The 12,973-nt window shown below is 40.4% G+C and overlaps 1 protein-coding gene and 1 pseudogene across 3 annotated transcripts in view, besides 2 other annotated features; one reads left to right on the top strand and one right to left on the bottom strand.

Moving 5' to 3' along the window:
* MAN2A1 (mannosidase alpha class 2A member 1) overlaps nucleotides 1–12,973 on the bottom strand; it is a 179,699-nt gene that overhangs the window by 24,385 nt on the left and 142,341 nt on the right. For all 3 annotated transcript variants that reach the window (NM_002372.4, XM_017009472.2, XM_024446048.2), the window contains one exon: nucleotides 2,780–2,913. In NM_002372.4, coding sequence (NP_002363.2) covers nucleotides 2,780–2,913 — 134 coding nt within the window. The remainder of the gene's footprint in view (nucleotides 1–2,779; nucleotides 2,914–12,973) is intronic.
* On the top strand, nucleotides 4,544–5,292 carry CT45B1P (cancer/testis antigen family 45 member B1, pseudogene; annotated as a pseudogene).
* Nucleotides 8,619–8,913: a silencer, noted in NCBI's record as "tiled region #1675; HepG2 Repressive non-DNase unmatched - State 15:Elon". NCBI's record gives its function as "represses a minimal TATA promoter and a strong SV40 promoter by Sharpr-MPRA in HepG2 cells {active_cell/tissue: HepG2}" and the evidence as "EXISTENCE:reporter gene assay evidence [ECO:0000049][PMID:27701403]".
* Nucleotides 12,279–12,526: a silencer, noted in NCBI's record as "fragment chr5:109168416-109168663 (GRCh37/hg19 assembly coordinates)". NCBI's record gives its function as "represses an EF-1alpha promoter that drives an FKBP-Casp9 reporter gene in an ReSE screen in HepG2 liver carcinoma cells {active_cell/tissue: HepG2}" and the evidence as "EXISTENCE:reporter gene assay evidence [ECO:0000049][PMID:32094911]".

Raw genomic sequence — 12,973 nt, 5'->3', positions numbered from 1 at the left:
TCGGTAACCCCAAAGCCCATCTGGGTCACAGTGACTGACTCTAAGCTCAGAACCCTATTATCAGTGAATCTTAATGATACCACATAAAAATGTCATCTCCTCATTTAAACTCATGAAAGTTGGATATAAAAGTGAAGAAAAGAAGAGGTACAAAGTTACCGTAATAGTTAACATGTATTAAGTGCCCATTAACGAAAGGCATGGTCCGGAGTATTTCACAAATGTGATCTTTAATCTTCCCAGCAACCCTGCAATGTCTCCCTCAAATTACTGGTTGTACTAGGTTGAATAATGCCTCCCTCTCTCAAATTCCTGTCCACCCACAACCCATGAATGTGATCTTATTTTGAAATACAGCCTCTGCAGAAATAGATGAGGTCATTCTGGATTATGTTGGGACCTAACCTAATGACTGGCATCTTTACAAGAAGAGAGAAATTTGGACACAGACAGACAGATACAAGAGGCATAGGGAGAACGCTGTATGACAAAAGAGGTAGAGATGGGAGTGATGCATACACAAACCAAGGAATGCCAAGCATAGGCAACCACTAGAAGCTGGGAAAGGGCAAGGAAGGTTATTTCCCTATAGCTTTTGGAGGGAATATGGCCCTGCCAACACCCTGATGTTAGAAATCTAGTCTCCAGAACTGTGAAAGAATAAAGTTTTGTTGTTTTACGTGATTCCATTTGTATGGCAGCCTTGGGAAATTAATAAACTGATAAAGCTACAACTGTAAAATGTTTAAAGAAAAAAAAAAAAGTAAAGCTACCTTAAAAGAATTCTCTATTTCTCCTTTCCAAACCCAATTAACTTGTAAATGTAAACTTATTTTAAAAAATGTAAAACTACCACAATCGTGTTGTTGCTACCCCGATTCCCCACTGGTGGAGCTAGATACCTAGTTTTGCCCAAGTACTACTATATCCAAAGCTTAAAAAATGGTCAATTTTAAAAGCAGAAATATTACAGACTTAAAAGTAATATTTTCTTTTTTAGTCAAACGTTCCATCCTCAAAAAGAAAATTCACATTTTTAGTTATTCGGTTTTACTAAGTTTCTCATTCATGTCTACACCCAAAAATACAAATAACTGGTTTTGTATAATTTTAAGAAAATACTTTCTTTTGTACATAAAAAAATGAATCACCATGAAGTTGAGATTTTATCTGGAATCCAAATGGCTGTAGTCGAATTAACATGCTAATTCAGAATGTATGCTGCAATTTTTATGTTTTGGAAAAAGTTTAAATTTAACTTTTGCAGGAAATCATAGAAGAGAAAATTATTAAAATCTTTTTCACCCACCCCCAGTTGAAAATCAAAGTGTTTATTGTAAAATTATTTCTATTCACAGCCAGAAATTTCTAAAACACTTGTTTTAAAAACATGCTCATGGTTTTAATGGTATTTCAAAGATATGTTATCAAACACATACACTCAGAAAACAGAGATTTAGGTAACAATCAAAAGTGCTCTATTAAATTGGAGAATTGACAACCTGATAAGATTGTATAAATCAATTTCCTTACTACAATTTGAAACATTTCATGAAAATTTTGATTAAATATATACCTGCCCATTTCTGAATAGATATACCTATGTATATGTATACATGTGTGTCTGTGTATGTATAATGGTATACACACACACACATATAGAGGAAGAGTTTTCCTGAAATTTACAAGGGCCCATTATTAGATCATACATTAAACCAATATATAGGGAACAAACTTAATAGGTATGGATCAATTCCTTATGAGGACAACTAATATAGACTTTGTATCCCCACCCAAATCTCATCTTGAATTGTAATCCCCAGGTGTTGAGAGAGAGACCTGGTGGGCAGAGACTAGATCATGGGGGTGGTTCCCCCCATGGTGTTCTTTTGACAGTGAGGGAGATCTCACAAGATCTGATGGTTTTATAAATGGCAGTTCCCCTGGGCTTTTCTCTCTCTTGCCTGCAGCCATGTAAGACTTGTCTGCTTCCCCTTCCTCTACGATTGTAAGTTTCCTGAGGCTACCCCTCCAGTCATACAGAACTGTGAGTCAATTAAACCTCTTTCCTTTATAAATTACCCAGTCTTGGGTATTTCGCTATAGCAGTGTGAGAGTGGGCTAATACAAAAACAGACCGGGCACAGTGGCTCATGCCCACAATCCCAGCACTTTGAAAGGGCGAGGTGGGCAGATCACTTGAGTCCAAGAGTTCGAGACCAGCCTGGCCAACATGGTGAAACCGTGTCTCTGCTAAAAATACAAAAATTAGCTGGGTGTAGTGGTGTGCGCCTGTAGTGCCAGCTACTTGGGAGGCTGAGGCAGGAGAGTCGCTTGAACCTGGGAGTAAGAGGCTGCAGTGAGCTGAGATCATGCCACTGCACTCCAGCCTGGGCAACAGAGCGAGACTCTTTCTCAAAAAAAAAAAAAAAAACCCAATAAGTATAATCCATCAATCCCTAATTATGTTTCCTTTCTGGTAGATAAATTCATATATATATTTTTTAGCATCAAGATATTTAACATTCATAGTGGTCACCAAATTTACCCTTTGAACAAATAAATCCTTACAAAAAGATGTTCTAAAAAAATGGTCTCCCAAATATTTCTTCTAACTGTAGAACCCGAAATTTTCTGTCAAAATTCAGTTTTATTTTAGATATAATTTGCAACTTTAAGTATACTTTTTCAAAGGATCCAAAATTAACTGGGCCATTGTTATATATAAGAATTACACACCAATACAACCATTACTTAAACATTTTAAAGGAAAAATTACCTGGTACCCATTTAGGTCAGTATAAAATCTATTTTGGCTTTTTATATCAGAAGAAATTTTCATTGCAATCTCACGGTTATATACTTTTCGGATGTCCACAATATTGGAAACTTCCACAGACTGTCCTTCTATTCCTAAATTTAAAAAAATATATATGGATTAATAGAAAGAAATTACTTGCCTCACCTTTTTGAAATATACTATACAGAACTCTTTCCAAAGTTACATTTTCTTGTTTTCTACTTCTTGTCTTAACATCTCTCATATAATAAATGCTATGACAATTTAACTTTTCTTTTTAAAAACTATCAGAAGGTAGATAGCACTTATTCAGGGGAGCATATTATTCATCTAAAGAATGAAGCAGCTGGGATGAGAAAAATGTAGATGATGTATAACATGTAAATGATTCTCTGAGTTCTAGAGGAGAAACAGGACATGAAATGAAAAAAGGGCTGCCCAGCTACAGGCCAGTCCACTTCTCATCTGCACCACCATTCCCCAAAGAGCCATTCTAGCCCACTTTTTCACCATTCTCTCCTTATAGACCAGAAATTATGAGCCAGTAAAGTTTACATTCTGCTGGTTCAAGTGACAGTGTATTATTGCTAGGAAAAGAGACAGGAGATCTAATGAGATGGTTTATGGCTGAAAGTAATATTAACATATTAGTATTTGTGGACTATAATCTGGAAAGCTCTCCAGAAGTTAAATCAATTTTAGTTGAGTTTAGTTATCTCTTAGGACTCCTTGTTATGAAATGATCCATTTTGTCCTTTGTTATGTAAAACAGAGGACAGCTTTAAAAAGTCCCTAACATATCAAACATTCATTTGGATAAGCCTCAAGTGTTTACTAGTTTCTGTCATTCTACTTTAATTGTATCTTCAGGTCCTCAGTGAGGCCTTGGGTCAATTTCATAGATAGAGAAGAGGAAATCCAACACACTTAATACAGATCAAGGGTGTATGAGATAAAAAGGAATGAATTAATGGCATTTGCAGCGACCTCCATGAGACTGGAGACTATTATTCTAAGTGAAGTAACTCAGGAATGGAAAACCAAACACTGTATGTTCTCACTGATATGTGGGAGCTAAGCTATGAGGATGCAAAGGCATAAGAATGATAGAATGGACTTTGGGGACTTGGGAGGAAGGGTTGGAGGGGGGCGAGGGATAAAAGACTACAAATAGAGTGCAGTGTATACTGCTCAGGTGATGGGTGCACCAAAATTTCACAAATCACCTCTAAAGAACTTACTAATGTAACCAAATACCACCTGTACCCCAATAACCTATGGAAATTTTTTTTAAAAACGGTGCGAGAGAGATATTACAGGACCTTCTAAAGAGAGCAATTAGGAAAGTGGTCATAAGAAGAAAGAGTGACATCATTCTATTCAATAAAGCTGACGCTTTCTGAGGTTCAGAAAGGAAAAAAGGAAAAATGCATAAGGTAGGAAAGGAGTAAGGAAGACTTTTTCCTAGGACACAAGTAGAATCCCCAGAGCTTAGCAGAAGGTGACAGCAAAGAGTTAAAGAAAGGAAGTTTAACTCTGTGAGGTTTGTGGGAAAGAGTGTAAATGCAGGCCCCATGATTGTCGGGGCTGGCACCCGTGATCCTACTGAACACAAGGCTTCTCCTCAGGACTCCGGCGCACCACACAGGTTCCCAGTGTTCCCAGTATTTGGCTGGGGCAGGGCACGCCATAGCAGGCAGTTTCCCTTCCATCCCCCTTGGGCCATACTGGATCGGTCCTTCTGGAAACAATGACTGATAAAGCAGAGAAGGTTGCTGTAGAACCTGAAAATGTGTTTAAACGTCCCAGGGAATCTGAGACTCCTTCATCTCAGAAAAGGCAGAAGATGGCCCTGTTGTTAAGGAAACAAAGAGCAGGAGACAGCCTTATTGGAGGCTCTGCCATGTCCAAGGAAAAGAAGCTTATGGCAGGAGATGGTATTCCACCAAGCCAATTGGATTCTCGGTTTGATGACTTCAGTGGTTGCAGCAAAGATGGGCTGATGCAGAAACCTGGTAGAAATGCACCTGTAGGAGGAATCATTACCAGCAATTTCTCTGGAGATGACCTAAAAGTCACAGAAATACTCCCTTTTCCAAAATGTCAAGAAGAAATTAATGCTGATATAAAATGTCAATTAGTGAAGGAAATTCAACACTTTAGACGAAAATATGAAAAACTCTTCAAATTGCTTGAAGGACTGCAAGGACCTATAGAAGTCAAGAAATGATTTTTTGAATCCATCATCAAGGAAGCCACAAGATTTATGAGACGAGACTTAATTCAGCACCTTGAGAAGAAACTGGAACAAATGATTTCTGGCTACTTGTTCAAGAAGGATCATCTCACCGCAAATGCATAATCTTGTTAATGACTGAGGAGGAAAAAAGGATCAAATTGCTGTTTTCTAGAATGGAGCAGGATATTGCTGAAGCCTCCTAGCATGTGTTAGTGAATAAAATGGCCTTCCAGAGGCTAAGACATTTCTGTTAAAAAAAAAAAAAAAGAATGTAAATGCTGTTAGTGTAGGCACCATAGATTTATCTGAAAAGTACAATGGAAATTCTAAAATAAAAATAACAATCTAGTGATAAATTAACACTTAAATGGGCTGAAGCCTCTAGGATCAGAATTTTCAGAATGCTCACTGAATTTCTTTCCGGTATATACTGCTCTTCCAACTTGAATGGAGCTAACTTCAGTTTCTTCCTACATTCATAAAACTATTATGAGTACCATCTCCATGGGTGAGGAAATGCGGAATGTTATTTAAAAAAAAAAAAAAAAAAAAGAGAGAGACAGGGCCTCACTATGTTGTTCAGGCTGGCCTCGAACTCCTGGGCTCAAGCAATCTTCCCACTTCAGCCTCCTGAGTAGCTGGGACTACAGGCATGTGCCACTGCACCCAGCTAATGCCTTTTTTTTTTTTTAATGGCCATAGTCTGAACCACTAACCCCTGCCAGTTACCTACACATGTACATTTCCTGATGACAATTATTACAAGGACCTGCAAAGATAGATGACCCAAATATCTCCACCACTATTGGGAAGTTGAAAAAGAAATCACACATATAGCTGATGATAAATAACAGTATCTTCTCTGACCTACGAAATGCATCACTCTAAATGCAAACCCTCTTTTCAGTATGCTTACATTAACCAAAATAGTTTTGTAAAGCCAAAATGAAATGTATATGGAATTTTAATAACAAAAGATAAGCATCTACAAATGAACCAAAAACATCCAAAACACAAAATGTAGCACCAAGCATGATAGTATTCACGTAATACTAGGGAGCTTAGCTGATGACAAGAAGTAAACTCTAATTCACTAAAAGAATTCATTGGGTTTTTAGTACTATTTTATGTTTTCTTCTCTCTAGATTAGATATTGTCTCAAAGATCAACAGAATACATGAAATGAAATAAAGCCTTAACAAAAGAGAACATCATTAATTTTAATTCATGTATCTCCAGAAAGCATTTATAAAAGAACATGCTTCAAGGAAAAAATGATAATTTCACACTACCTCTAGCAATAATAAAGTATTTCTGTTGAGAAAATCATCTTTCTCAACCTCAGTATTATACTCAGACCCTGTTGTGGCAACAAACACTTAAAGCTCTTTAAAAGGAGCCTTTATGTCCATTCACAATTCAGCAAGATATCAATTTAAAGTTTGTATCAGGACAGACTTTTAAAATAAGATTAAACTTAATATGCTTATTATGAACAAGCCAAACAAAACCTGTAATGGTCATAAAAGCAAGGAGGTATCCCTGAGTTCTCAATGATAATTTATTATTTTTTTAAAGATCAGTATATGTGAAAGAGTGAAAGGATTGCCAATTGTTCCTATTCTGTGTCAGTAATTCCCTAAGTTTGTACCTTTCCCAAAGAGGCTCATGAAATGGAAGGGAGAACTTCCCAGGAAGCAGGAATGCAAACCAGCAGTATCCAGTGGTCTGTTTTACCTGTGCATCACATGGCAGCAAAAATGCTATTTTTTTTACTAAAGTGGCTCCACCTGGGCATGAATGGCCAGGGCTTTCTAAGTCCCTCTGGGGGACTTAGACTTCTCTTTAACACTTTACAAGATTAGTCACTAGGGAAAGAAAGGAGTGATGCCATTCCCAGGTTTTAACAAAGAGAAATATGTGCCCTCTTGCTGCTAATTCTCTCCCCCTTGGAAGAGAGAATGGAGTTTGTTTATCCTTATTTGCATAGGCAACGCAAGGTAGAACAGAGCCAGTTCACAGGTGAAAAGTGGTAATAAAAAGGCCAAAAAGAGTCCTTCAGAAGGTCCCACTACATCAGAGTGTTCTATAGATGCTGTAGATTCCAGTCTCACACCCGGAGCTAGGATTTTTTTTTTTTTTAATCTCCCTACAGAATGTTAGCTTCTCACAGATACAGACTGTCTTACACACCATCTTTGCATTCCAGTTCTTAACAACATTTGGGGTACATGGTAAGTACTGAATCACTGTTAGACAGAAATAGCTAAGATATGAAAGCCTGTCCTTTATCATGCAGAAGTTAGCTGACATGGGAGGAAAGTAAACTGGGCTATGGATAAAGTTTAAGTAGCTGGAAAGATGAGAGAATAAGAACTTTCATTTTACATATATGTTACATGCATGTTAGAATATAAGTTCCCTAAGGCTAGAGACCATGTCTTATTTATCTTCATGTTCCCAGCACGTAGACATGTACAATAAACGTATACTGAGTGAAGGGTGGTAAACGTATGCTGAGTGAAGGGTGGCAGCTATGTCGCAATGACAGGAGCCAAGAGTTATTGATGCTTACTATGTACCATATGTTTACTACAAGCTTTACATATAATGACTCCTTTCTTCCTGACCCTAAGCTGAGGAAGAAATCACTCGCCCAAGGACAAGACTGGCAGAACCAGGACTAAACTACTACATCATCATGTCTCACTGGCAGACCAACTATTGGAGAAGGCTCAAGTTACTCTGGGACCAAGGGCTGGGAGAGGCCTTGTAGTAAGCGAGTAGAGAGAAGACCTCCAGATTTTGTTTTTGTTTTTAAGGGCAGAGGGCACTGAACTGAAATCTGATATCCTGCAAGAGCTATTTGAGTGAAATAAAGCACAAGAGGCTTCCAGACCCCAAAAACTCTTTAAAACAACCCAAAACTCTCTTTTAAAATGGCACACTCACCTTAGAAGCCAAGAAAGTAATACATATTTAATATTAAAGACAGATACTCTATTGCACAGCAGTTCCTCCCCACTGTACCTAGCTGAGATGTACATAATGGTGAGCCCAGGAGGCACACACCAGCATGTTCACTGCATACTGGCACTAGGAACAAAAAAATGGGAAGACATACTAGATGCCCTTCAACAGGGAAATGAATAAATAAAATCACATACACCCATGTTATGGAATGCTGTGTCACAAATGAGAAGAATGAGGTAACTGTCTCTCTTGGCAGAGAAACATCAGAAGAAAAAAGCTAAATGTAGCATTTGTATAGCATGATAAACTATGCTGAAAATCGACACAAACACAATACTATACTTTTCTACAGTTGTAAGACCGTGTGGTGCACGTATGCTTGCACATATATCTGAATTCCTCTCCTGAAGAGTGGATGGAGACAGACACAGATGCCAGAGGAATTTTACTTTATATCTGTAATGTGTGAAGTCAGAAGAGTACACATATATATTATTTATACCTGTATTTGTAAAATAATATTAAGCATCTTTAGAATATTTTCTGAGACAGCAAGAAGAAATAAAACCAAGTAGGTCACCGTCAGGAGGCTGAGCCGTATCACAGCTTTGGGAGGACAGAACACTCAGGCTTACAGGGTTTTAGCACCACTCTCAAAATGATGTTGCTCTTCTCAGAGCCTTCCCCCACTGGGTGGATCAGGAGAGAGAGAACAGAAAACAAAAGGCATCACCCTTTTAACTGTTGCTTAGCACCAGTCTAAGGAAACCAAAAAGCGTGCTCCCTCGTGTGGGGAGAGAAAAACTGGAGGGCATGCCGGTGCGGTGGCTCATGCCTGTAATTCCAGTACTTTGGGAGGCCGAGGTGGGTGGATCATGTGAAGTCAGGATTTGAGACCAGCCTGCCCAACATAGCGAAACACTGTCTTTACTAAAAAAAAACCCCACAAAAATTAGCCAGGTGTGGTGGTGGGCACCTGTAATCCCAGCTACTTCAGAGGCTAAGGCAGGAGAATCACTTGAACCTAGGAGGCAGAGGTTGCAGCAAGCCAAGATCGCGCCACTGCACTCCAGCCTGGGGCAACAGAGTGGGACTCCATCGCAAAAATAATAATAACAATAATTATTATTATTGTTATTATTAAAAGAAAAACTGGAGGGCAAGCCCGACACACGCCATGCCTGAAATATGAGGTAAAAGAAACATCCATGAGGGTGTAAGGACTCCAAAAAATGCAAATGGAAACCCTGGAGTCATAGCTCTGAGCAACAACTAATGACGGCCTTTGGAAAATCCCAGGCTTTTACTTCCTCTGTACCACCAACTCTCTCAGATCCTTCAACAATTTATCTGAAGCCGCCTAATTCAACCCTGAATTGCAGAATCTCAGAGTTAGCTCAACCCTCTCCACCTCTCCAGATCATTTTATTCTAGCTATTTTGAAATGCAAAGTATACTTTTCCAAGGAATATACTCATAAACCATACACCACTCTCACCACACTCAACCAGTTATAGGAGTGAGAGGCAACAACTTGGGAAAAACGACAAAAAAGAACCTCACTCATATCCCAGCAAAGTCCAGTATCTTATCAGTGGCACCTAATGTGATTAGGACAACTCATTAGATCAAGAGGGACAATAGCAAATGGCCCACGGTCACCTAGGAAAAAGACAAGTGATGGCGAGAATCCTAAGCGGCATATTTAAGTCTGCAAATAAAAGTTTAACTGAAATTTAACATAGCTATCAAATCACATAAAATAAATCTCCAAAACACCCATCTAAGATTCAAAGAAATGTCTGAGTGTCTTAAAAATACTGGCTCTCAGGCAAAGGGAACCTTGTTATCTATCTAATTGTTGCTCTCATCTCCTTTCCTCCAATCTGTGTCTGAGCAGAGAGGATGACAGAATCATCATTTTGTTGCAGAAGTAGGATAATAATAGCTATCAGAAAAAACTAGGGCTTCTGATTTTGAATATTCCCTCTTCAATATGGGAAACATTTTGTTTTGTATTTTAATCATCAAAAATATAAAAATACCTTTGCTATTATGCACTTACTTTAGTGATGTTTTTGTAAACTTTATCCAACTTAGCTTAAAGCTCAAGCTTATGGTTATTAATTAACATATACTGCTTAATTCGATAAGTATGCTTATATGAAATTCTCACAACAATGACAAACTGAGTAAGTCAACATCTAAATGTTTCTAAAAAGAAAATATTATCGTGACCATATTTAAAAAAAAAACTGTACTTATATCTGAAAGTACCAAAATAAAAATGGTAATAATTCCCACTACTGGATGATCTTTTTTTCCATGTTGACTCACTCAATTTACCATTCATTATAAGATCTAATTTATCGTCTGAGTCACTGCCGATTTCTGGGTCTGTAAATGTTCATATTGATTATTTCTCCACAAGTGAAAATGTTAACATCTGCTTTCATGAATACAAATTTTAGTAAATTTCATTCCAAGTCACAAATTTAAGAAAATGATGATATACTGCTTTGTGCCATTCATAAAACACTACTAGATAAACAGCTACTATTACTTACCAATAACTTATGAGTTAGGCACTAGTGTACCTACTTTATGCCTTTCATTTCAATAATTCTCATGAAAATGTCAAAAACTAAATCTGTAATAGGAAAGGTATGGCATTTTGATCATATGAATTGCAAATGTTGGGTAAAGATTATACCAATAAACTATGATATACTTGAAGAAGACATAATAAATGAAAAACATAAAACAAAACTGAAAGGCTTTTTGGTTTTTTTTTTAAAGTACTAATGTTATGAAACAACAGAATTTTTTGGAAGCTCTGTTTTGGAGGGATCATAATACCGACATCAGTTTTAACCTCAAAATAGATAAAATAAATAAGGTCTAACTAAAACACTCCCCTACGAGGTGAATAAAATACCTCACAACACCGGAGTTTTTTGGTGCCTTCCCCGTGTCCCAGGCTTGGGCTGGTCTAGGACAGAGGAGAGAAGTTGGCTGAACTAATCATGATATTTGATCTGCACATCTGTGGCACTGGCAGTTACTCTGAACTTACCTACTTCCTGTTTTCCCAAACATGCTCCTTTCTAAGGCACCTTTAGGCAGGAAAAGATTCCTCATAATGACCTGCCTCCATGACAGATGTTTCTTTTCCACCACTCTATTTCTTCTCCCAACTTATAAAAAAAATAAAACAAGCAGCAGCATATCTCTCACCTTCTTTAGTGGGTACTGAACAAAAACAGTTCAACATATTGGTGTCTGACTGGACTTTAATGACTAAGCAACAAATATTTCTGCAAAACACATGGTTTCCAATTGCTTGCTTTCACCAAAATTGAAAGCATACCTAATCAGGTTGTCAGGCAGTAGATCTTTAAAAATAATTGATTAAAATTAATGTTTGACGATAGATCAGTCTGTGGCTTATGGCATCTAACTCAGGAGTTCAAAGTACTGAATGATATTCCTATAAGAAAACTCCTTCAATCCCTCTCCCCCTCCCCCTCCCCCTCCCCACAGTCTCCCTCTCCCTCTCCCTCTCTCTCCACCGTCTCCCTCTGATGCCGAGCAGAGGCCGGACTGTAGTGCTGCCATCTCGGCTCACTGCAACCTCCATGCCTGATTCTCCTGCTTCAGCCTGCCGAGTGCCTGGGATTGCAGGCGCACGCCTCCACGCCTGACTGGTTTTCGGATTTTTTTGGTGGAGACGGGGTTTTGCCGTGTTGGCCGGGCTGGTCTCCAGCTCCTAACCACGAGTGATCTGCTAGCCTCGGCCTCCTGAGGTGCCGGGATTGCAGATGGAGTCTCGCTCACTCAGTGCTCAATGTTGCCCAGGCTGGAGTGCAGTGGCGTGATCTCGGCTCGCTACAACCTCCACCTCCCAGCCGCCTGCCTTGGCCTCCCAAAGTGCCGAGATTGCAGCCTCTGCCCGGCCGCCACCCTGTCTGGGAAGCGAGGAGCGTCTCTGCCTGGCCGCCCATCGTCTGGGATGTGAGGAGCCCCTCTGCCCGGCCGCCCAGTCTGGGAAGTGAGGAGCGTCTCTTCCCAGCCGCCATCCCCTCTGGGAAGTGAGGAGCGTCTCTGCCCGGCCACCCATCGTCTGAGATATGGGGAGCGCCTCTGCCCCGCCACCCATCGTCTGAGATGTGGGGAGCGCCTCTGCCCTGCCGCCCCATCTGGGATGTGAGGAGCGCCTCTGCCCGGCCGTGACCCCATCTGGGAACTGAGGAGTGTCTGTGCCCGACCGCCACCCCGTCTGGGAGGTGAGGAGCGTCTCTGCCCTGCCGCCCCATCTGAGAAGTGAGGAGCCCCTCCGCCCGGCAGCCGCCCCGTCTGGGAAGTGAGGAGCCCCTCCGCCCGGCAGCCGCCCCCTCCAGGAGGTGGGGGACAGCCCCCACCCAGCCAGCCGCCCCGTCCGGGAGGGAGGTGGGGGGCAGCCCCGGCCCGGCCAGCCGCCCCATCCGGGAGGGAAGTGGGGGGGCCCCTCTGCCCGGCCGCCACCCTGTCTGGGAGGTGTACCTAGCAGCTCATTGAGAACGGGCCATGATGACGATGGCGGTTTTGTCGAGTGGAAGGGGGGGACGTGTGGGGAAAGGAAAGAGAAATCAGATTGTTGCTGTGTCTGTGTAGAAAGAAGTAGACATGGGAGACTCCATTTTGTGCTGTACTAAGAAAAATTCTTCTGCCTTGGGATGCTGTTAATCTATGGCCTTACCCCCAACCCCTTGCTCTCTGAAACATGTGCTGTGTCCACTCAGGGTTAAATGGATTAAGGGCGGTGCAGGATGTGGTTTGTTAAACAGATGCTTGAAGGCAGCATGCTCGTTAAGAGTCATCACCACTCCCTAATCTCAAGTACCCAGGGACACAAAAACTGCAGAAGGCAGCAGGGTCCTCTGCCTAGGAAAACCAGAGACCCTTGTTCACATGTTTATCTG

The sequence above is a fragment of the Homo sapiens genome, chromosome 5 (assembly GCF_000001405.40).
Source record: "Homo sapiens chromosome 5, GRCh38.p14 Primary Assembly".
NCBI lineage: Eukaryota > Metazoa > Chordata > Mammalia > Primates > Hominidae > Homo > Homo sapiens.
Note: the sequence above shows the minus strand (reverse complement) of the source record. Positions and strands in the feature narration are given on the sequence as shown.